We start from the raw sequence: 26,422 nt of genomic DNA, 5'->3' as shown, positions 1-26,422 counted from the left end.
CAGCTATTGGTTGGTGTATCACATTCTTAAAAAGTACATTCTGATACATTTACTGAACTCAGACTCATTACCATTTGTTGCTCTGCATTGATGATAGATTCTCTGAGTTAGGAATACATCATGTGTCTCCTGTTTTTCTGTCATGTCCCACGCTCTGCATACTAAGGCTACAACCTGGACTTTATTCCGTTACTCTTTTAGCTCACACACGCTATGTCCTTTCAAAGCAGCAGCAAAGCAGCTGAATTACAGCTTTAAATACCAGGGGGCAGTTATTATTAGGCAGGCACAATTGTCTTCCTACCTGCTCACTAATCTGCAGTCATAAGAACTGCCTTTAGCACACATTCCTGATTGCTCATTCCACTGCACCACTTAAAGGCTCAGATATTTTGACTTTTTTCTTTTTGAAGATTAGACGACTTCAGCTGCTCTCCTGGCCCCCATATCCTGCTCCTTGCCCTTCGCTCTGCATACTGAACTCGGCATTCTGTCCTGGCCTGGGCTGACTGATAGGCCACTTCCTGCAGTTAGCTCTAGTAGGAACTATGCCTCCACACAGGGTCACTGGACTGCGCTGAACTGTGAGACTAATGTTAATGAAGTTGCCCTTTTAGAAAATTAACTTTTCTAATAACCATGGAGACTAAAGCAGTCTAGTACTAAAGATTAAGTGCTGTATGTGTTTCACTGGCTTTGCTTAACACCAGCCCCACCTCCCAAAACCTTCACTATTGCCTGCATGAGTCATTTGTATGGTGTTTGTCATTTTTCACTGAAAATGTCTAATTTTAAAATACATCATTTTTTGGTTATAAAATTCTCTTTAAAGAAAAATTGCATTATGTATTAAAGTTATAAGAAAAATATTATCTGCATATGGGTAGCCAGTTTTCTCGACGTCATTTATTAAATAGGGAATCCTTTCCCGATGGCTTGTTTTTGTCAGGTTTGTCAAAGATCATATGGTTGTAGACATCTGTTCTGTTCCATTGGCCTATATATCTGTTTTGGTACCAGTACCATGCTGTTTTGGACCCCTTCCTTACACCTTATACAAAAACTGACTCAAGATGGATTAAAGACTTAAACATAAGACCTAAAACCATAAAAACCCTAGGAGAAAAACTAGGCAATACCATTCAGGACATAGACATGGGCAAAGACTGCATGATTAAAACACCAAAAGCAATGGCAACAAAAGCCAACATTAACAAATGGGATCTAACTAAACTAAAGAGCTTCTGCACAGCTAAAGAAACTATCATCAGAGGTAACAGGCAACCTACAGAATGGGGGAAAATTTTTGCAATCTACTCATCTGACAATGGGCTAATATCCAGAATCTACAAAGAACTTAAACAAATTTACAAGAAAAAAACAACCCCATCAAAAAGTGGGCAAAGGATATGAACAGACACTTCTCAAAAGAAGACATTTATGTGGCCAACAGACATATGAAACAAAGCTCACCATCACTGGTCATTAGAGAAATGCAAATCAAAACCACAATGAGACACCATCTCACACCAGTTAGAATGGCGATCATTAAAATGTCAGGAAACAACAGATACTGGAGAGGATGTGGAGAAATAGAAACACTTTTACACTGTTGGTGGGAGTGTAAATTAGTTCAACCATTGTGGAAGACAGTGTGGCAATTCCTCAAGGATCTAGAACCAGAAATATCATTTGACTCAGCAATCCCATTACTGGGGATATACCCAAAGGATTATAAATCATTCTACTATAAAGACACATGCGCATGTATGTTTACTGCAGCACTGTTCACAATAGCAAAGACTTGGAACCAACCCAAATGCCCTTCAGTAATACTGAATCCAGTAATACTGGACAAAGATAATGTGGCACATATACACAATGGAATACTATGCAGCCATAAAAAAGATGAGTTCATGTCCTTTGCAGGGACATGGATGAAGCTGGAAACCATCATTCTCATCAAACTAACACAGGAACAGAAAACCAAACACCGCATGTTCTCACTCATAAGTGGGAGTTGGACAATGAGAACACATGGACACAGAGAGGGGAACATCACACGCCGGGGTCTGTTTGGGGGTGGGGGGCTAGGGGAGGGATTGCATTAGGAGAAATACCTAATGTAGATGACGGGTTGATGGGTGCAGCAAACCACCATAGCATGTGTATACCTATGTAACAAACCTGCATGTTCTGCACATGTATCACAGAACTTGAAGTATAATTTTTAAAAAAGCTTAAAGAAAAATTTATCTATATTCCCACCATACAAAGAAAATTACAGTTAATATTTTGCTCTATTTTTTTCTCTGCATATATTTTATTTGTTAAGTAGTTTTGGTCATGATGTTTATATAATTCCTTTTAACCAAAAGCAATCACAGCAAAAGCCAAAATTGACAAATGGGTTCTCATAAAACTAAAGATTTTCTGCACAGCAAAAGCAACTATTATCAGAGTGAACAGACAACTTACAGAATGGGAGAAAATTTTTGCAATCTAACCATCTGACAAAGGTCTAATATCTAGAATCTACAAGGAACTTAAACAAATTTACAAGAAAAAAACAAACAACTCTATTAAAAAGTAGGTAAAGGACATGAACAGACACTTCTCAAAAGAAGACATTTATGCAGCCAGCGAACACATGGAATAAAGCTCATCATCACTGGTCATTAGAGAAATGCAAATCAAAACCACAATGAGATATCATCTCATGCCAGTCAGAATGGCAGTTATTAAAAAAACAAGAAACAACAGATGCTGGCGAGGCTGTGGAGAAATAAGAACTCTTTTACACTGTTGGTGGGAATGTAAATTAGTTCAAACATCATGGAAGACAGTGTGGCGATTCCTCAAAGACCTGGAACCAGAAATACTATTTGACCCAGCAACCCCATTACTAGGTATATACCCAAAGGAATAGAAATCGTTCTATTATAAGGATACATGCACACATATGTTCATTGCAGCACCATTCACAATAGCAAATACATGGAATCAAACCAAATGCCCATTAATGATAGACTAGATAAAAGAAATGTGGTATACGTATACTGTGGAATACTATGCTGCCATAAAAAAATGAGATCATATCCTTTGCAGGGACATGGATGGAGCTAGAAGTCATTATCCTCAGCAAACTAACACAGGAACAGAAAACCAAATACCACATGTTCTCACTTACAAGTGGGAGCTGAACAATGAGAACACATGGATACAGGTGGGGAACAAAACACACTCGGGCCTATGGGCGGTGAGGTGGGGAGAGGGAGAGCATCAGAATAAATAGGTAATGCATGCTGGGCTTAATACCTAGGTGATGGGTTGATAGGTGCAGCAAACTACCATGGCACACATTTACCTATGTAACAAACCTGCACGTCCTGTACATGTATCCCAGAACTTAAAATGTTTTTTTCTCTAATCAAATGCTAAGTTTTTTCATGTCATTATTAACACTTTGTGAACATTTCATCTAATAGGTGCACCATACCCATTACTGCTTAATATTTTGGTTGGATCAGATTACTCACTATTATAAATAAATTACTCACTATTATAAATAAAACTGCAAAGAACATCTTGGAAAAATTTAATTTTTTAAAAATGTTTTTAAAAATATTTAAAATTATCTCCTTAGATATACTTCAAAGGATGGAATTAGTCAAAAGACATGAATACTTTAAGACACTGCACCGAGTTTGAAGGAAAAAAGGTATTAACTTAACAATAAAGCATGTATGTCTGACTTTAGTCTCTGGATTGGGAAGTAAACAGCAGAATCCCAGAATGTTAGAAATGGAAATAAAGTAAGAGGTGTTTTAATTCAACTCCTTCATTTTACTATGAGAAAATGGGGCTTAAAGAGGTTGATTTTTTTTTATAATCACTTAATTAGTTTGGGCAGGTAGTAGCAGATACACAACTTAGTTGCAGGTTTCCTGACTTCCAGTCCAGTGCTTCTAATGAACACTGAAATCTTCAGGACTGAGTGGGAAGAGGAGATAATGTCAAACAAATATTAAAACATAAACTCTCATCATCATGCAATATACCCAGGTAACAGACCTGCTCAGGTACCCCCTACATCTAAAACAAAAGTTAAAATTATAAAAAACAAAAAGCACCCCCAAACTCTACATAAACTATGTGGCATCTCAGTTTCAGCTCCAATGTAATACGCTTATTTCAAACAAGCCCCTTGTCTTTTGATTCCTTCATACAATAAACATAAGCAAAATAGATGTCAACTCTCAGAGTTGGAAGAAGATCCCTAAGTATTGTGATATTTGGAAATACCAATAAAAATAAATTATCAATCATGTTATAATTCCACTAGAAAGAAATTTAGAAAGTTTAACAGTTAATTAACTTCTAAAATAATGAATTTTCGTGTGAAGCATTCATCATGCATAGCCAACTGATAATCTAGTGAGACTTTGTGGTGTTCCCTTTTGCCTTCTGTCTAAACATGGAAAAAGGAGGCCTATCTAGCTTCACTTCTAGTACTTATAATTCCATCAGAAGAATTACTCTCACAAAGACACCAAACAGTTTATGTAAGTTTTATAAGGAAATTGTAGATTATTTTCTAATTAATATAATTAAAACCAACCAACACTTAAAAAACCTATAAGCCACTTTTCTACCGTGCAGAACTTGTTCATAATTAACATTAAAAATATTTATATAACCTAAAGTCTTCTAGCTTATGATTTGTAATAAGTATTTTCAAACTTTAATGGACTAGGGAAAAATACATTTTTACAAAGGTAATAGAATTTGCCAATTTTGTAAATGATTTTATATGTCTTTAAAAAATCATTCACATTGTAAGAGTGAGACTAGATGACCGAGGAAAAAGGGCTGTTTGGTTTCTCATTAATCACGTCCATCTACACTGTTAATATTCATTTCTTCTTCTCTCCTCTCCTCATTTTATATGGGCTCAAACATTCTTCTACACATTGTCAAATTGTTTATTACCATTTATTTCATTGTTAGAAGTTACACGGTCCGTCTGCTGCTAAAGCATCTCTGCATGTGTGAAGACTGTGTTATAGAAGAAGCCCTGATGTGGCTGCAGGGGCTTTAGAGGAGCAACCAGGAGGTGGAGCACAGGGTTCTAACTGCCAGAGAATGCGTGAAAAAAGAGGAACTTTCCATCAATCTTCAGTAGTCAGTCCTTAAATGGCACTGCCAATTGTACTATTGTTTAAAAAGAAATGAGACAAAACCCTAAAAACCTAAAATTAGAAGAAAAACACAGAATGATTTCAGAGTTGGAGGCAGGAAACCTGAACCTGAGCCCTAGCTTTTAGACTTCCTGGCTGGTTGCTCACTTTTTCTGCCTTGATTTTTCTTCCTTGTGCTTCCAAGGACAAATACAAATTAAAAACAGGTGGCTTAATTCTCCCTATTGAAAATAAAGAAAGAGATTTCCCTCCCTTCCTTTTGATTTGGGGATTTACTTTAGAAAACTGTGAATTGCAATTACTTCATCTTCTTTTTTAAATACATATGAATCCACTTGAAGACTAGATTGGCATTTTGTCAGCTTTGTGACCTGGGAATGTCTTTCTCAAGGACCTGGGGAGGCAGAGTGGGGGCAGGAGGCTTATTCCAAATTGCAGAACTACCTCCTTTCATGAGAATATGAAAAGTTTGTTTTTCTTTTGCATAAAGTCAATTACCTAACATAAATAAATGGTCACCCCAATTACCAGAAACAGTTAGAATGAAGGATCTATGACAAATGGTGCTGTCAATCCTCTTACTTGAGGACTACTTGTTGATTATATTGAAAATATGTATGTAATAGGTTGCATGTGTTTAGCTACATAAAAAGGTAAGATCTCTTTCGGTCTTCAGTCTCTTAGGTTGCCTGTGATGTGCACCACATTTTGGCTTAATGTTTATTCGATAATACAAGCTTTTTCTTTCTCTATTAGCTTTGTGGAGAGGATTTCTGACTTGGGAAAATACTTGTTTTAATTACATTTCCCCAACAGTATGATGAGAGAGTAACACTGGAACATTAAAAATTTTTAGTCTTTAATTTGATTCATTTAGAGATAAATCTTTAGAGACATTTCAATTTCTTTCATGCTACCCTCCATACAGTAATATGGAAGGAAAAACATATCCTGGAATCTTGAATACAGGGATAGATTGAGAAGGAGAAGGTGATATGGTGAGCACAAAGGGAATGAGATAACACTTCAAAATTAAAACAAACAATGGACTTACAAATTTATCATAGGTTGGACGCTCAAGACCCTACATTCTCTACTAAGGACTGTCCTAAAACAAGAAACAGGTCACTGGATAGAAAGACAATGAACAATACCCATAAAATAATGAAAACAAATGAAATCAACACTGACAATGAAGATACTTCAACTTACAAGCAAGCAAGGGCATTGCCCTTTGCAAGATAAAACCCACAAAGCATCTTCATCCCAGGCAGGGAGCACTTGCGCAATGACCTAGCATATGAGATGCACACGTTCCTGCTAAGCTCCAGTAGGGACTAGCGCTGTTGTTGGTGCTCTAACCGCAATACCCCACAGTGAGATGCCAGGAGAATATAGCATAAAAGATCATAATGTGAGTCCTGCTGATGAAGAGATCTTAGCTTCAGCACAGAACCATGCTTTTATATATAAAAGAAAGCAACAATTTCATGACAGGCTACAGTTTCCAAGGTGTAGTAAAACCAACAGTTAGAAAGAATCAGTTGCCTGTCTTCATTGGCACCTGCCAACTGTAAGAATGATGTGAAATTTCAGCCCTTTCTATCCCATGCTTGGTTTACTATTCCTTTTCCACTTCTCCCTACCTCAAAGAAAGAGGAGTCTTAAGTAGCAGCTCAAGTGGTCACTGTTACAGGTTCTAGACATTCAAGCATTGTCTTTTTCTTCTAGACTTAGAAGCTGAGTGGATAAGCCAAGCAAGGGGTCAGCCCACTTTTCCTTTCTATCTCCTCCAAGTATGCAGCTGTGTGGTAATTTGAAGGCCTAGTCTGTAGATCTAGCTACATGGAACACTACTCCTAGAATTTTATAGGATGATAAATTTGTCACAGTATAGTAAACTGCCTTGGGAGAAGCAGAAAGGAAAGGAATATCGTGTGATTCTTTTATTGAGTTCATAAGAAAAATGGCATCAGCTTTAAAACCTGTGTGTGTGTGTGTGTGTGTGTGTGTGTGTGCGCGCGTGTGCACAGCATGCACGTATTGTCTAAATGCTACTCAAGGTGGTACCTGCTATGCTGTTTAGATGACTTCCTATGAAGGCCTATATAATAAGTTTACATCAGAAAACAGAGTTAGGAAAACATAGTTTCTTCTCACACATATTCAAGTATTTTCTTTTACTACATGGTTACATAGATTATTTTGCTCCTGTTTTCGCCTTGACTACCATGAATCACATGGCTAAGTTTGTTGTGCTCATGTAATACTTTGTGACTGCATAAGTTTTATTAGTATAATTAAATTTTTGCTTGATTTGCTTGATCCTACCTGCCCACCTCCCTCAATTCCCACTGAATTATTGACTCTTGCTACTTTTCTCCTTTTAAAATTGATTGCATGGTTTTACTTCCTTTGATTTTTATCATAAACTATGTCAAACCAAACAAATAGTAATGTAGTCTTTCAAATAACCTGAAGACTAGCAACATAAACCACAAAGGTCTTAGAGATGGATTCTCTGCATTAAGTTCTCCCTCTACCTCTACTCTATTCTTTCTATATGCCAGAAGATATTAATGGATATTCATGCATTAAAAACATAACAGAAAACTGCAAATAGGCCATTCTTTAGCCTAGCAGAGAGAATTGCCCGCAGCAGAACTATTTAATGGGTATTGTGTCAGCACTTTTTTGAACATTTTAAATAAAAGGTCTATAAGTTATATTTGCTTAGTGTTAAAATGTGAGGAACATACTATAAGTAAAATAATCTTTTAAAAAATTTTATTTTTAAAGAAGTTATAGAAAACATTAACCTGTTTAGTTGACTGTGTGAGATTTAGCAACATCATCATAGCTAAAAACATATAAAATAACCTTTCAAAGCTGGAAGCAGTGGCTCACACCTGTAATCCCAGCACTTTGGGAGGCTGAGGCGGGCAGATTGCTTAAGCTTGGGAGTTTGAGACCAGCCTGGGCAACATGGTGAAATCCTGTCTCTACTAAAAATACAAAAAAGAATTAGACAGGTATGGTGGCACACACCTGTAGTCCCAGCTACTCAGGAGACTGAGGTGGGAAGATCACTCGAACCTGGGAGGCGGAGGTTGCAGTGAGCTGAGATCACGCCCACTGTTCTCCAGCCTGGGTGATGAAGCGAGACCCTGTCTTAAAAAACAAACAAACAAACAAAAAACAAGAAAAACCTCCTAAAATACTTTATCATAGATGTTTTCTTTGAATAATCATAATGATGAGGATAACTAAAATTTGTAGAGTATCTCTAATAGTTGCAGGCTCCTTAAATACATTACCTTTTAGGAAATTTTATATCTTCCTTTATGCAGCCCAAAAAGCTGAGGAACAAAAAAATCAAATTCAAAGCACTGATAATGCTCAGGTTATTTTAGGAGGTATGTCTAACATTTTTCCCACCAAGCAAACTGAACAAGCACACATAAAACATTTGCACAAATTTAAACAATCAATAAAGTGAATGTTTGACCCCTTTTCTAGAACAAAAGCATTTCAACATTCATTTGTGGAGATTTCTGAATTAGAGAACTCTCCCTCAATTACCCAGATGTATGGATATTCAGGTTTGAGTTTTAGAAATATACACCGTTTTTGGTATTTTCTCTTGTGGATCTTGATAACCATACATTAGTAATTTGGTTGCACAGGAAAGATAGGATCCTGAGCAGAAAGAGACTGCAATTGCTATGTAGACCTAAGCAATAACATACATTCAAAGTAAACCAGGGAGGCAGGTCAGTGTTTGGGCTTGTGTCAGTTTCAGAAGGACAGGATGTATTAATATGGCGGGTAGGAGAAAATATTTCCCTCTCCTCCTCACACTGTAGTTTGAGTGGAACCATCTGGCTGGGTAGGTGAAATGGAAGGAAGCCTTTGCCAGTGCAAAGGGAGATAATGATAATGGAAATATTAAGCTTCTGAAAGGGAATGTGTGTTATCCTTGATGTTATAAAAGGAGACAGAAAATGAATAAAATGATCAATAGCTAATTGGTAAACATTTCTCAGCAAACAGTATAAGTCAATGAAGTGAAGATGACCAGGATGTTTTTCCTTCATACTGATTTTTGCTATTTAGCATTAGCTGAAATTAGCTTACATTACTTTCATTTCTACTTTCAAGGTTCTAGGGAACATTTTAGGTGATTCAAGGGTCCCTTTTCCCATGATGTGCTAGAGCCACCATGAAGGAAGAAAACAAAACTCACGTAGGTCCAGTGGTGAATGAATCACCGGAGATATTTTGCTGCAGTCACCTTACTTGGTCTGTGCTCTGAAAGTTATTTTTTATCATTGGAGTTACTGTAATATAACCCACATTCATGGTGACCACCACCAATTGTGATGATCTTAAAATGGTGGCTGTAACTGTAGGTTATCTTCTGACAATCTTAAAGACTCTTGAAATGACTTGTGACAATCTTGATTCTCATGGTCATCTGGGTGGGATGGGAAGGTTGCTACAAGAGGCATTTGTATGATAGCCAAAAGCAATATTTGGCAATAGTACCAGATGATTGATTTTTACAGAATCAATGGGATGAAACTATATATACTACATGTCTTACTGAGTTGAGTTCCCTGCAAGTAGAAGGGAGTCACCTCTAGGTGAAAAAAAATCCATTGTTGTTCATCTCTTATAAATAGTGTCTTTGTTCTCTGATATTTTTTGTTAGCTTTCCATCAAAGAGGAAAGGTCTGTCTACTTTACAAATAGAAGTAAAACCATCATACAATTATTCTCATTTAGCAATTATTGAGCATTAATTGAAAGTTGGCATGCTGGAAAACTCACTTCCTGGGGGAGAATTATTATTTTAGAGTGCCACAGATATTGTGTAATGTACATAACGTATTTGAAGCAGCAATTTATTAAAAGTTACAATGTTTTCCCTAGAGAATGGATTAGCTATTCACCATTAGGGCCAGGTCCAATATTTATGAAATGTTCACAAATGATTAATTATGTTTCATTTACAAATAGACTCTAATGGGAGACATTTTTATTGCAAGTGCTATTTTAATGAATTGTCTGTCTTTATGAATTCATGTCCAAGACTGAAATAATTCCTTTTTGCTCCCTTTCCTCGATCTTACACCTGAGCCTGCCATTGCTTATCATGTGTTTCCTATTTCTTCTATTCAGCTCATGTGATCATTCCCTCAGTAGCCTGAACTAGAAAACCCTGGACATATTTGTGACTCTCTCTCCTCACACCCCATTTCCGATCAGTCACCATGTTTAAGTGGTTCCTTGTTGCCTACAGAATAAAAGTCAGCTCTCCTTAACCTGATATATAGATATATTCACAGCCTGGGCACCATAATGCCCCAGTTTTCCATTCCCCACAAGGTAGACTATCCTAGCTCCTACTATGAGATGCCCTTCCCTCTCTCTTTCCCTTCAAAAGTCAGCTCAAGTGTTGTCTTCTTCCTTTAACTTTCCAGATGTTTTTACTCCCTGCTCCCTAGGCAGAATCAGTAACTTCCTCATTTATTCTCTTACAGAAGTGTATGCATACTTCTCAGTTGTCTTTATTCATCTGTGCATCTAACTTATGCATAAGACTGTAAGCTTTTTGAAGTCTCACTGTTTTATTTTCTATGTATACCATGTTTACTTAGCACATAATAAGGCCTTATTGAAGGTTGTTTGGCTGAGTTGAAAATCCTATTAAAAGAAGAAACAAATCAAAGTTATGCCTCAGTGGATATTTCATGTGAATACCACTTTGTGATTGGTATTGGAGATAAAGTGGATGTACGTGAAGAAGAAAGTCTGGCGGCAGTTCACTTAGTGGTCCAAATAGAATAGTTATAGAGACATAGCAGTTTAGAGCAGGAAGGTAAATCAGAGACTACCTTCATACAAATAACTTACTTTCATTACGTTATGCTCTCTCTTCACCCTGTTCTTGCCATTTTCTATGCTAGTTTCCTAGAAAAGCACTATTACAGTCCCTAGACCATAGTAGATACACACTAAATATATCTTGTATAAATGAATGAATGAATGACCGAGTAAAAAGAGTCCCCCTCTCGCATTTTACAGATAAGAAAACAGACTCAGAAGCCGGGTGCGGTGGCTCACGCCTGTAATCCCAGCGCTTTGGGAGGCCGAAGTGGGCGGATCACGAGGTCAGGAGATCGAGACTATCCTGGCTAACACGGTGAAATGCTGCCTCTACTAAAAATACAAAAAATTAGCCAGGTGTGGTGGCCGGCACCTGTAGTCCCAGCTACTCGGGAGGCTGAGGCAGGGGTATGGCATGAACCTGGAAGGCGGAGCTTGCACTGAGCTGAGATCACGACACTGCACTCCAGCCTGAGCGACCGATTGAGACTCTGTCTCAAAAGCAAAATAAAACAAAACAAAACAAAACACAGACTCAGAGATGCAAAGAACAGGAAAGCAAAAACCATCCCTTTTCCAAGCCGCCACCATATTCTCTACATTGAACTAAATGCTTTTACCTCATTTATGCAACTCTATCCTCTCAGGAAAATTATACAACTACTATGTTACAAAAAGAACTTACTTACTTGAAGCTTAAAACCTGTGCCCTATGATCACACAGATAGGTGGTATATCTGTTTTTTCTTATGTAGTGTTTATTGTATAGTATTTCCTCTGCCACTTGCTGGCATGGTATTCATGGACAGTAATAGTATTGATGATTGGTTTGATGCTCAGAAAATCTCTACTTTCCCTATCTGTGTTGTTTAGATGGTAGCAAGTGACTAAATACAGGGAGCTATAATCTAGTGGTGAGAATACTAGACGTGAAGGCTGAAAACCGAGCACATTTCCTAATCCTGTGATCTTGTCTTGAACAAACCCTTTATTGTCTTGGAAACTCAGGTTTCTCATTTATACAGCATAGTATATACTACCAATTTTGTAGAGTTATCTGATGAACAGGTGAATGACTATGAAAGCATAGTTTGTCCACATAAAATTAAGGTAATTTTTTTCTTAAGCTTACGTGAGAATGAGAAAATGTGTATAAAAGGGCTTCCTCAGCTATACATTCACGTTTTTGTATCCCCTTTATTACTGTTTTGCAATTTCAGTGTACAGCCTTAATTTGTGTAAACAGATAAAAGGAGGATAAATAAGCACTTTCTCACTAATGTGGCTTGTATGCAATATAGCATATTTAAATGAAATTCTGCTTCTAGTTCTTTTGAACACAATTGAATATAACAGTAATAGAGAAATAATAGTGAAAATGACATTCATGTCATGAGCTTCCATTCTCATAAGAAAATCAAAACAATCCAAGAAAAGAGAAAATATGAAAATTAACATCATTGCACAGACAGTAGCAACTCTTTGATGATAAAAAAAAGCCATTGGCAGCTTGTTTTAGCAGTAATTGAAAATAAGACTTTTCAAATGTTCTGCATTAGCTGCAGCTCTAATGTATACATTTACAAATGAATCTGATAAAAATTTCTCGGTTTTATAAATCATCTCCTTTACCTCAAACAAGGTACAGAATGTGTCATTTGCTTCTTGTTGATAACATCATCTCTGCTCTTTAATGTCAATATTACCCCATGACCCACTATCAACATTTGTTATACTCTATTGCTTTCCATTTTTAAGAAAATGTTTTATTAAAACAAAAACAACCAAAATAAGAGAAATTATGATGTATTTTTCAGTATAGCTTTAAAAATCTCTGAATACCATACAGTAGAGAGCCCTGGGGTACTAGGCATGACTAGGACCTCAGAAGTGATCTAGTTCTGACCCTCATCTTAGAGTTCAAAAAATGAGGCTATAAGTGGCTGAAAAGAAGATATGCTAGTTTTCAGAGAACAAAAACAAGGAAAGTGCTCCAGGCTATTTTTGAGCACTCTTCTTACTATACTAAATCAGAAAATAATCAATTTTAACACATATAACTTAATTCTCCTTTATCCAAATGATATCAGAGAAAAAGGAAGCCTTGCTCAACACTTTTATGTTAACTCTTCAGATGCAGATACTGATGGACTGATGATATGTATCTGGGAGAAAACCAAATAAATAGGATGACAGGAGATCTCAATAGCCTGGAACAATTGGCTATATCTAACAAAAGAGAATTAAACAGCAATAGACACAAAGTCAGCACTTACAGTACAAAAACTAATGGCAAAAGCACATGAAGTGGGACATATGGTTTAACAGCAGAACATAATTTTTTCAGAAGTGGCTGTTCTTAAAGAACTGAAAGTTATATAAGTTTACTCTTGTACTCTTCCCCAAAATCAACTCAATTCTACTTAACATAATAGAAGTATATACAGAACAACAAAGGTGCTAAATCTCTTCACCTGGATTCTCCGCATAGATATAGACACTGACAAATTGGGGCACGTAGAGGGGAAAGACCAGAGTGTTAAGTGACTCAGACCCAAGCACTTCAGGAAAGGTTAAAGGAATTGGATCTGTCTCTCTGGAGAAGAGAAGGACTATATTTGTTGTCTGGGAAAAATGGTCATGAGAGAAACATGTACTTTGTAATAAAGAAGGCTGACTGACTGAGTGGAATTTAAGGTACAGAGGGCATGAGTTTGAGTATTGGTGCCATTGTTAACCAGTGGTGTGACCTTGAAAAAATCACTAAGAAACTGCATCTCAGGTTCCTGAGCTGCATTATGAGAACAGGAATATCTACATTGCAAGAGTCTTGTGAAAATTAAATTAAACAACATATGTAAAATAGCTAAAGAACATGGCATGCAGTTAATAGTCAACCAAGGGCTGGGCGTGGTGGCTCATGCCTGTAATCCCAGCACTTTGGGAGGCTGAGACAGGCAGATCACCTGAGGTCAGAAGTTCGAGATCAACCTGGCCAACATGGTGAAACCGTGTCTCTACTAAAAATAATAATAATAATGATAGCTGGGTGTGGTGGTGGGCACCTGCAATCCCAGCTTCTCGGGAGGCTGAGGCAGGAGAATCGCTTGAACCTGGGAGGCAGAAGTTGCAATGAGCTGAGATTGTGCCACTGCACTCCAGCCTGGGCAACAGAGAGAGACTCCATCTCAAAAAATAAAATAAAATAAAAAAAGTTAACCAACATTGGCCTTTCCACCTACTTGTCAGGTAGAGTCATTAGTGATTTTTATTAGATAAGTATCTCGTAGAAGGGTTGTATAAGCAGATATGAGAAGGTTAGGCATTGAGATCCTTGCCAATGCAGCAAGATATATTTATATGTTGACCAACAACATTTGTTGTACTTTATTCCAATAAGGATTATTATTTTAAATAGTGGATGCCTTACAAGTTATATTGCCTTATAAAGCTGCAAGAAAATTTCACTAATATATAGAGTAAAACAGTGCTTATCTACTTACCTGTAAAGTGCAGAAAGGGGCCTCTTGTTTCCAGGTTTTGGTCTGTATGGTTTGGGCTCTCCTGCCATGTTGATATCTGAAAGCATAAAATAAAACAGTACTGATTAAGAAAATACGAAACCATCTGAGAAAAGTAAATCATGAACTTTTATTTTTCTTTTTACTATTTGTTTATGCAAATATTGTACACCATTGATTCATTCAACATATGTTTATTGAGCATTTACTCTATGTCAGGCACTGTTTGGGATATGTCATGCACAAAACAGATTATATCTCTGCCCTTGTGGAACTTACATTTTACTGGGGGAAGACAGTGAGAAACAAACATAATAATTAAAAACTATATACCATATTAGAAAACGATGAGTACTATAAACAATCAAAATGTTGAGCAAAGTGAGGAGAATCAAAAATGCTTTTCTTTTTTCCCTAAAAGACAGGGTTTTGCTCTGTCGCCCAGGCTGGAGTGCAGTGGGGAAATCGTTGCTCACTGTAACCTTGAACTCCTGGTCTCAAACAATCCTCCTTCCTCTGCCTCTGAAGTAGCTAGGACTACAGGCATGTGCCACTATGCCTGGCTAATTTTTAAAATTTTCTGTAGAAATGAGGTCTGGCTAGGAGGCCCAGGCTGTCTCAAACTTCTGGCCTCAAGCAATTCTCCTGCCTCAGCCTCCCGAAGTGTTGGGATTATAGGTGTGAGCCGCTGTGACTGGCCAGAAATGCTTCATGAAACAAAAAGAGAATGAAATGTTCTTCTGATTTTCATTTTTCGCTAAGAATTTTTCAGTATGCATAAACATTTGTATGAAATAGAGTTCTGTTCATAGGAGGACTTATTAAATTTCCTATGATATATTTTCCATTTATATAGAAAAGGAAGCTAGAAGGATTTGATCATAAATCATACCAGGTTTACTAAAGGAGCAACAAAATGCACTCAGCAACTGGAATATGTAGTTATTGAATTCCAAGGTTGTCAAAATGAGAAGAGAGCACATACTTTGCCTTCATAAACTGAAAATATTATTGTCTCTGGGATACACAAAAAGAGGTTTAAGTATGTGACAAAACAGTCTATGCATACAACTGACCAACCTCAATCTTAAAGAAATATGTAAAACTGTTAAGAAATTGGAAAGTTGGGAGGAGAAGGTTTGGAAAGTAATATAAATAACTAGATTGAACAAAGTTAAAATTTCCAAATGATGATAGAAAGGGAAATCTAAAGGAGATGTGCTTCAAGAAATGAGGGATATTATTTTGACAGAAAGGAAAGGGAAAACTTCTATTTCTTGCACAGTGGACTAAATACACTGAGCTATCCACCACTGAAAACAACCAAAAATTCTGGATAAAATATAAATGTATCCTTTTAAAGAATGCAACATAAAACTAGCAAGAAAGTAAGGGATTTGAAGAACATTCCACCTGAGTGGAAACAGGAAATCAAATGGAAAAAGAACACTGCACCTGGCTTGTTCCTTAAAGATACTTGTTGCTGCCAGAACATGAGTTTTAGTTTTTACATCCTTGTGGTTCAGCGGGCACAGGTCACTATGCCCAGGTTAAAGAATGTGAGACATAAAATCATCTGATTCAACATAGGTGACAAATATGTGACAAAAGCCTTAGCAACTAGGAAGAGAAGAAAAATTCCTTACTTAATAAAGAAGATTTACAAAAATCTATATTAAACATTATACCTAATGCTTCAAGAAATGATGTCTAGTGAGACATTGGGCACACTTGCTTTAAGATCAGATAATTTAAAAGGACACCCACTATATTAAACTTTATATAATATTGTACTAGATGTCCTAGTCAGTGCAGTAAGACAGGAAAGCAATTTTAGAAATGAGAGAGAAGAAATAAAACTGTCACTAATTGCTGATGATATGTGGGTTCATGTAAAAAATTGTAAAGCATCCACAGATTATTACAATTAATAAGAGAGTTTAATAAGTTTATTGAATGCAAAGCCAGTATACAAAATTCAATTGTATATCTCTATACAACAATCATATGTATAAAATACAGTCTAAAGTATATTATTTACATACTATAAAAGACAAAGTATTAAGGGGTAATCTATTACAACACTTGAAAGACCTTAATGAAAAAAATTATAAAACTGTATTGAAAAATTTTACAGTTACCTTATATAAACAGAAAAATTAGAAGACTCAATATAATAAATATGTCAGTTATCTTCAAGATAATTATGGATTCCATGTAATTCCAATAAAATCCCCAATATTTTTTATGTATATGCCTGAAGCTTGACAAGCTGATTCTGAATTTGTACAATAGAACAAAGGCCAAACATAGCCATGATACACTTGGAAAAAAGGTATGAAGTTGGTAAAGTTGCCTTATCAATATTTATTTTAAAGCTGTGGTAATTAAGGCTGTAGTAATGGTAGAGAGATAGGAAAGGGACCAATGAACATGAAATACACACACGTATATATGACAAAACTGTACATGCATACAATTGACATATATAAACACATGGAGCCGACATAGCAGATCAGTGAGGGAAAGACTGATTCTTAAATAAATAATGATGGAATGATTGGTTATCCACAAGGACAAATATGAAATTGAACATCTACCTACACCATACCAAAAAAATCAATTACTATTGCCTAAATATGAAAGGAAAAAATATAAAATGTTTAGAAAGCAATAAAATAGAATATCTTTTTGAGCTAAGAATATGGGAGGATAATCTTAAACCAGACATAAAAAATCGCTAACCTTAAAATACAAAATTGATAAATTCTGCTTCATTAAAATTAAGAATTTCTGGTCATAAAAAGCCACATAAAGACAGTGAAAAGAACCATAAATTTGACAAAGGATTTGTTTCTTGAATATATAGGAAACTCATGCATATCATAGTAAAGAGAGTCAAAACACCAAATAGAAAATTAATAAAAAGCCTAGTAAAAGCACTTTACACAAGGGAAAACATGAGTGGTGAATAAACACATGAAAAAATGCTCAACCTCATTAGTAGTGGGAAATGCAAGTTAAAACATCATGAGATACAAATAAAACCCATTGAATTTACATTTTACAAAGCCTGGTAATATCAAATGCTGGCATTTCTGAGCAAATAGAATTTGTGTAGAATGCAGATATAAATGTACATGGTAAAAACTATTTTGAAAAATAATTCATCAGTTTCTAATAAACTTAAAATGTTCAAACTCTGTGATCCAGGAAGTACACACTTAAAAAACCTTTTACACATGTGTACCATACGGTATATACAAGTTTGTTCATTGTAGTACATTGGAATTGAAAAGATTCCTGGAAAAAACACAAATACCCATTGTATTTTTAATAGGATAAACAAATGGTAGCATATTTACCAAAAGGAATACTATACAACAGTAGAGAAATGACAGAGACAGAGAGAGAGAGAGAAAATGAATTAGGGCCATAGGAAATATTGAAATATTGATAACCTCAGAAACCTAACACTGAACAAAAATAATGCCCTGGAAAAATACTGACAGTATGAATTCTTTCATGTAAATTTAATTGCAAAATTGAATGATATATTGTATAAAAAGAAAAATACATGGGATAAAACTAGAAAAAAAAGCTTCTGTGCAGCAAAAGAAACAGCAGAGTAAACAGACAACCCACAGAGTGGGAGAAAATCTTCACAATTTATACATCTGTCAAAGGACTAAAATCGAGAATCTACAAAGAACTCAAACAAATTAGCAAGAAAAAAACAAATAATCACATCAAAAAGTGGGCTAAGCATATGAATAAACAATTCTCAAAAGAAGATATACAAATGACCAACAAACATTTGAAAAAATGCTCAACTTCACTAATGATCAGGGAAATGCAAATCAAAACCACGGTGCTATACCACCTTACCCCCATGAGAATGGCCATAATAAAAAAATCAAAAAATAATGAATGTTGGCATGAATCTGGTAAAAAGGGAACACTTCTACACTGGTGGGGGAATGTAAACTAGTACAACCCTATGGAAAACAGTGTGGTGATTCCTTAAGAAACTAAAAGTAGAACTACCATTTGATCCAGCAGCCCCACTACTGGGTATCTACCCAGAGGAAAAGAAGTCATTATACGAAAAAGATACTTGCACGTGCATATTTATAGCAGCACAATTCACAATTGCAAAAATATGGAACGAGCCCAAAGGCCCATCAATCAGCAAGTGAATAAAGAAATTATGGTGTGTATATATATATGATGGACTACTACTCAGCCATAAAAAGGAACAAATTACTGCCATTTGCAGCAATCTGGATGGAACTGGAGGCTGTTATTCTAAGTAAAGCAACACAGGAATAGAAAACCAAACATCGTGTGTTCTCACTCATAAGTGGGAGCTAAGCTATGGAGATATGAAGGCATAAGAATGATACAATGGACTTTGGGGACTCGGGGGAAAAGGTGGGAGGGGGTGAAGGGTAAAAGACTAAAAATTGGGTTTAGTGTATACTGCTAGGGTGGTGGGTGCATCAGATTCTCTCAAATCACCACCAAAGAATTTATGTAACCAAATACCACCTGTTCGCCAAAACCTATGGAAATAAACATTTTTCTAAAAAAAGAAGGCAGAGATAAACAAGGAATTCAGGATGAAGTTTACCTCTAAAGGAGTAGAAAAAGTGTGGGACTTGGAAACGACACCCAGAAGACATTAAAGTTAATAGTAAGGTAGTATTTCTTAAATTGGGTGGTAAGAGCATGGCTGTAAATTACAGCATTATTCCTCATAACTTACTTACTTTATTCTGTATGTAATTTATAACTAATAAGGAATTTAAGAAAATAGGAATGAAAACTGTAAATTATGTGTTGATAAATATTCACATCAGAGAAAATAGGGTTTTTTTGTTTGTTTTTGTTTTTCTCTGAGACAGAGTCTCACTCTGTCGCCCATGGCTCACTGCAACTTCTGCCTCCTGGGTTCAAGTGATTCTCCTGCCTCAGCCTCCCAAGTAGCTGGAATTGCAGTCACCTACCACCCTGCCCTACTAATTTTTGTATTTTTAGCAGAGACAGGGTTTCACCATGTTAGCCAGACTGGTCTCCAACTCCTGACCTCAAGTGATCCTCCAGCCTCGGCTTCCCACAGTGCTAGGATTACAGAGGTGTGAGCCACCGTGCTGGGCCAGAGACATTAGGTTTTAGTGAACAAGTGGTTTTAGCAGATTGTGAGCTGGTATATTTAAGAAAAGAGAACATGTTGTGGGTGGATTATTGGGTGTGAGAAGATCATTAGAAACCCCATTAGAGCTTCAAAGCTGATTTGAGTGGGATGTAATTTAGGGTTCTGAGTAGAGGAAAGACCCAAGAATCACTCAGGAAAATAGTGACTCTTGTATGACTTAGAATAAGGCACAGCCAGATCGAGGCTGTCTGAATCTTTTAGATGTGACACAGTTGTAACAAAAAAAGCATGTAAAATAAAAACAGATTTCTACAAGTTTTTTAAGCTCTGTAATGATGGTAGAGGGCACATGCGCATGAAAATATCATCAGACATCTTTTATATATTTCTAGCTTAGACTTAATGACATAAAATGAACATGTAAAATTATTCTCATCAATAAATAAAAAGCTTGAGACTTAAGTTTATTGACAAAATATTGTAGCATTTATCTTGTTCTTAAAAATAATATACTGTCAGTGATTCTGAAAACACACTTAGATTGACAGCATATTCATACAATGAAAAACCTTTCATGAAATGTTGTTAAACTCAGTATTTCCACACATTAACCTCCTTTCAAAGGTATTAAAAAATGCCAAAGAAAATACTTTGCCACTTATATACAATGAAACGTGTTCAAATGCAGAATTTTCTTTTGGATGTATGGAAATTTATGCTTAAATACAGATGGTCGCCGAGTTATGACAGTTCGACTTAACGATTTTTGAGTTTTTAATGGTAGGAAAGCAATTTGCATTCTGTAGAAACTATACTTCTCTCGCTTTGCTGGGCAGTGGAAGTGAGCCATAGCTCCTAGTCAGCCACACACTTTCAATTTATAGCGTTTTGAACTTACCCTGGGCTTTTTGGGATGCAGCCCCATCCTAAGTGAAGGATATCTGTATGCATATTTACATATTCTGCAGTGCTATGTTGTTTATCATCTAAAACCTGGTTTTAGTAGACAGGGAGAAGGGTGAAAGGGGCAGAAAGGATTCCATGGAGGAGGGTACAGTGGGCAAAGAGCTCAGGTAATCATAGTGAACATAAGCTTTGCCAAGATTCGAATGAACGAGCAGTCCCTTTGTATTGAACTTTATAAATACAAGATTAATTGGGTATTCAGGACAATCCAGCTTCATTGGAAGCCAAGGCTTAGGTTCTCATGCCTCAAGAGCTGTTGGCCTTGAAGGGACCAGACACACAGTATGGCATCCTAGCAGTAACTCTGTGGTCACCAACAACAGAGAAGTCTCCTGAGGTTTTGTTCCCTGATTATCCTGGCACTGTGTAAGTTACTCACAAAGTAGAGTAAATGGAAGAATGACCAAGGTTCAATTTTCTACGCTCTCATAAGCTAGGGGCTTTGTAGTAAAACATGAGACACAAAAAGTAAGGTGTTATTTCTTTGTTTTCTGGATTTACAAAGAGATTTATACAAAATATCAACGTTCAGAGCTCTTAAACTGTTCTCAAGAAATGATGTGGGTTTAATCACTCCCAATAAATGCTTTTGGCATATTTCAAAAAGCCTAGTTAAATTTGTAGTCATTGTGCAGAAGTACCTTTACAGATGCCTATATACCAGGCTGGTCCACGTTGTTATCTGGCTATTAGAATTATGTTCTTCTGAGTGAGGATTGATAAAACCAAACAGGCACCATTTAAATGAATTCTTTTGATAAGACTTATTTATGTTTGGGTGCACTACACATCACATCTGCGTGGAGAAGCTAGCTACTCTCACTCCATTCCAGCCATAGGGATAAAGCAGAAGAGAACAAACCACAGGTTAAGAGAACTCTACCTGTGGCTAATTGATGCCTGGCACGCCCCCACTTGAAGGGAGAAGGGCCATTTGCATTTTGTCATGATTCTCTCTAAGCAGAGAATAGACCCATCTCATTCTGAAGTTTCAATATTTCAAGTTAGCATGAAAAAAGTATAAAAAAAGTAAAATTTGCTCCAAAATTATCCCTCTGATATTAAACCTCAGGTTCAAACAATTGAAAAATATCCTGTTGGGCTACTAACTGTATCTTTTCACAGTAAGTTAATTAAAAATGTATTAACTGCTCTCAAAAATTTAGCCAATTTTTGTTTCTTCTTTAATTTAAAACTGAATAAGCAATACCATGATGCCGTGACAGATATAACTATAAACTTATGGAACTGAAAAAAGTCAATGAGCTGAACCTATTCTAACTTGAGGCAAATGAGATGAAGCAAATGGAGACGGGTGCTATTCCAAAGTGTCATCCACCAGAATACTAACCAGCCATGTAACTACATTTATTTGACCAATCTTTGTAAGCATACTATTAAAGGTGATCACAATGGATTTCTATTATTTCATGCTTTTGACTCTTGGGAAGATACTTTCAATTCTGCACCCAAATAGATGTGACTCTCCCACCTCGCACCTACTTTATTATACCATTTCCATGACACTGAGTATGGGTGCCCTTTGACTTTGGACTTCTAAAGGGCAGTCATAATTTCACTCAGTTTCTTATGCCCTTCAGCACCCCACGCACTGTTGTTTATGCAATAGATGCTCAATAAGTCTATTGTTAATTAAATTTATACAGACCAAAAGGCATAACTTTGGGCTCCAGTAAGTCTAACCAAACACATGTTGCCAACACATTTTATAAAATGGTGTTTATCAGAACAATGTTTTGGGAGTTTTTTTTTTTTTTTTTTTTTTTTTTTTGAGACAGTCTCACTCTGTCGCCAGGCTGGAGTGCAGTGGCGCGATCTCAGCTCACTGCAACCTCTGCCTCTCGGGTTCAAGCTATTCTCCTGCCACAGCCTCCCAAGTAGCTGGGATTACAGGCGTGTGCCACCATGCCTGGCTAATTTTATTTATTTATTTATTTATTTATTTATTTATTTATTTATTTTAGTAGAGATGGGGTTTCACCGTGTTAGCCAGGATGGTCTTGATCTCCTGAACTCGTGATCCACCCACCTTGGCCTCCCAAAGTGCTAGGATTACAGGTGTGAGCCACCACGCCTGGCTGGGAGATGTTATTAGGTATCGTGAAACAAATTTATCACAGTAAAACTGTTAGTAAAAATGCTACATTATATCCTTTTCTTGGCTATTTACACTTAACAGATAAAACTGCAAAAAAAGATTCACTTGCATTTAACTCAAATGTTCTTACATATACATGAATTTAGGATATTTTGGACGATATATCTATTAGCATCCAGCAAATCAGAGCTCCTCTAGGATACTGCTTTATGAGATACCCTGACATGTTTAGGAAAATATTTTATATTTATTTATTTGCCATGGATTCAACTTGGAGTACCCTCATTTTAAAAGTTAAACGTAGTCTTTTAAATTAAATATAATTTACACTGCTACAATAAACTGACATTTGCAACTTACTCTACCACTAGCAATCCCTGCTGGCTCTGTCATTTTTCAGATATATTTAACTTTGATATGGAAATGGTATCTAATTTATAATAGGACATCCACACTATCAATAGTATCTTCTAAATGTGAATAAGTCTAAAAGAAACATTTTTCTGAAATAATTGGTTAAAAGACAAATCTTTATTCTTAGGGTTTTTTTTTTTTCCTCATCAGGTTTAAATAGAAGTCTAAATAATTCAGTCATGGCATGCAGACTGCCAGGAAAAGTCATTCTGTCTCTTTTACTGTTCACATTTAGAAGATTTAGGGATTCATTACTGTTCCATTGAATAAAAATTCAGGAGATAAAGAAAACAGTCTGTTATGTTTGACAAGTGAACGGACATAACCATACATTACCCAAGTATAAGCACCATACCACCAAAAAGTGTTTTGGTAGTTATTATTAGTTGAGATCCTCAGAACAACCCTGTGAAATAAGCACAGCAGGAGCCATTCTTCCCACTTCGTATATATAGATGTTTGAGATACTGAGAAATTAAATGGCTTTCTTATTTGTACTGTTAGTTCAGTTCACTATAACCACCTTTCCTATTGAGCAAAGCCCACGTGCCAAGCATTGAACCAGCAAAAGAGGTGATACCCTGCCCCAGCAGCAGACAGGACTGTCTGAGAGTTAGCAGCAGATTGAACTGCAGCTGCACCAGACTCCTAATCTAGAACTTTCCCCACTACCTCTCCTTGTTCTTCATAAGATTTTGAATGTCACACCTTCTATGCCACTCAAACCCAGTTTGGCTGTGGAAAGCAGCCTGTAAAGCAATGCACTCTGTGTCCCAGGAGCTCTGGCATCACAGGGGAGGATGCATGATTAAAGGAGTGCTGTAGAGAGATCTGTCTGGCAGCAGAGGAGAAGAAAATTCAACTCCCAACTGTGCTGCCTGCAATTTCCTGGCCAGGTGGGTTCACAGCCCTGTGGTTTACAAGAGCTACACAGCAGTGCTTTTACTCTGAGGAAACAAAACAAAACAAAAAAACCCACAAATGTACCAGAGTTGCAAAAGCAAGTACAGCACACCCAGGGCTCTAAAATATGGACATTTGTAGCATTTTGAGCGAAAATCTGAGATTGGAGCCAATCTTCTACAAAAGTAAATAGCTTTCTAATGTTGTTGTTTTTCCCTTCACAGCATCAAAGCTAGTTTTAACACTTGAAGTATGTCCTTAATAGTATGTTAAAATATTCGGTGTTATAAGAATGAAACTGTAGTCTAATTTTACTGGGCAGTCACTGAATTGTGACCATTTTAATGAGCCTTTGGACCTAGTTTCATAAATTAGTTCTGACACAGCACTATGGCACGTTGGCCTCTGGTTATTAGAATGCTAATGTAGAGATCATTGGTTGGCCAGATTCCCATTTGTTACCAGAAAATTCTCCATGCTCCCAGGCTGTGTCTGCAAGGGCAAATCAAAGTGGAAACTTGAACTTCTTACTAGTTATTTGGTAAGCTTGATCATTGTATGTGACTTATTTAGATTTAGACTGTTTTTTCCCTAATAGAAACTGAAGTGAAAAAAAGCACATATATATTTGGATGCCTTTCTATATTTATTATATATTTCATTCAAAGGTTATATTAGGAATAAAATTAAAATGTCAGGGAGCATTCATTTTCATTGATCAAATAATTATTTGAACATACAACATATGCCCGGTGCCATGCTAAAGTTTGGGTAAACAAACATGAACATTTTTGTATGCTCAAGGATATCACAGAGAAAAGCAAACCTGCCGCTAACTATAGAAAATGTAACAGGCATCATAATAAAGATGTAGCCTTCACACTTTGGGAACATGGCAGTACACTGAGAACTATCAGTGAGACCACCCTCAGGGTTCGTTCTTGGTATATGAGGTGGTTTCTTCCCAAGACACAGATTCTAACGTTAGACGTTTTATCGAACCACATCTACCAGGAAACTCGGCAAATGCCTCAGCTCTATCAGTTGAGTCATAGAGATCTGTCTCTGTTCTTTTGTTTGTTTGTTCTATTAGCTAATTGTCAAAACACCTTTGATTTGCCTTGAAGCATAAGTGGCCATGAAAGTTGACGAATCCTTGTGGCTTTGGTGCATGCTTCATCTATGTCTAGTCTAAAAATTTTAGCTGAGAACAGAAGCACGTTTCATATAGGATACAAAGCAAACACGAAATGATAATGCCGTTAATTAACAAGTTTGTATTTACTTAATTCCTAAAGCTTATAATTTGGATTTTAAAAAAAGTTATTTTGTGTCCTCTGTTATCTTGAATAAGTTTTCTGAAAAAATATTTTCTATATTCCATGAACATCTTTCTCTCTACAAAAGTTAAAAATGAAGGAGGTATATTTTATCAAGAGATAAAGCCTATAGAAACCCAATGAATAGAAGAAAATCCAGACAAGTGTTCACCAGTAGCCTCCTGAATATGTTTAGAACTTTGCTTAACAATTTGACAAATATGCTCAGTGATTATTGACATCAACGGTGAATACAACTGTTAAGAAAATCAAGACTAAAAATCACATGGTGAAAAATCTCAGCTATATATTCATCATTAGTGAACAGACTTAGCACTATTAATTTCATTGCATCCCAAGAGTTTATTTAGTTTCATACTTGAGGACAAAACATTCCTTAAAGAATATCCTGTTGGTAACATTCAACCAACAGAAAGTCGGGATCATCAGTTTCCTTGAGAACTCTCAGGTTTTACCTTGGTGAAGCAAAGGAGACCCCAAGATTTTGGTATTTCTTTTCTTGTTCCTTCACTTTTCTCATTTCTCTCTTTTCATACGCGTATATATGGACTTAATTTTCTTAGGTCCTTTTTGTGATGACTTTGTATTCCACATTTAAAAAACCGAGGCTGCTATGTGAGGTATTTTATAATTCATAAATATAATGAAATGCCAGAGCTAATGTTAGGAAACTAAATGTGTTTCATGTGGAGAGAAGTATACAACCCTAGAATATAACACATTTAGCTTAAATCTTTTCCTTCAATTATATCTTTAAATATTTTATTGTTTTAAGATGTTTTGAAAAGAGAATACTAGGAATTCTGAGCAGAAGAATAAAGCTTTCAGGAAAGACATTTGAAAAATGCTTTTCTAATTATTCCATTCTAAAGCTCAGAATGGAATAATGCTATATTAATGCACTGATG

General features: G+C 36.3%; 1 protein-coding gene across 58 annotated transcripts in view; it reads right to left on the bottom strand.

The window, feature by feature from the left end:
- Window positions 1–26,422, bottom strand: part of RALYL (RALY RNA binding protein like) — a 739,058-nt gene that overhangs the window by 132,594 nt on the left and 580,042 nt on the right. For all 58 annotated transcript variants that reach the window (NM_001413301.1, NM_001413300.1, NM_001354325.2 and 55 more), the window contains one exon: window positions 14,597–14,672. In NM_001413301.1, coding sequence (NP_001400230.1) covers window positions 14,597–14,672 — 76 coding nt within the window. The remainder of the gene's footprint in view (window positions 1–14,596; window positions 14,673–26,422) is intronic.

The sequence above is a fragment of the Homo sapiens genome, chromosome 8, assembly GCF_000001405.40.
Source record: "Homo sapiens chromosome 8, GRCh38.p14 Primary Assembly".
NCBI lineage: Eukaryota > Metazoa > Chordata > Mammalia > Primates > Hominidae > Homo > Homo sapiens.
The sequence above is the reverse complement of the archived record's forward strand: the minus strand, read 5'-3'. Positions and strand labels throughout refer to the sequence as shown.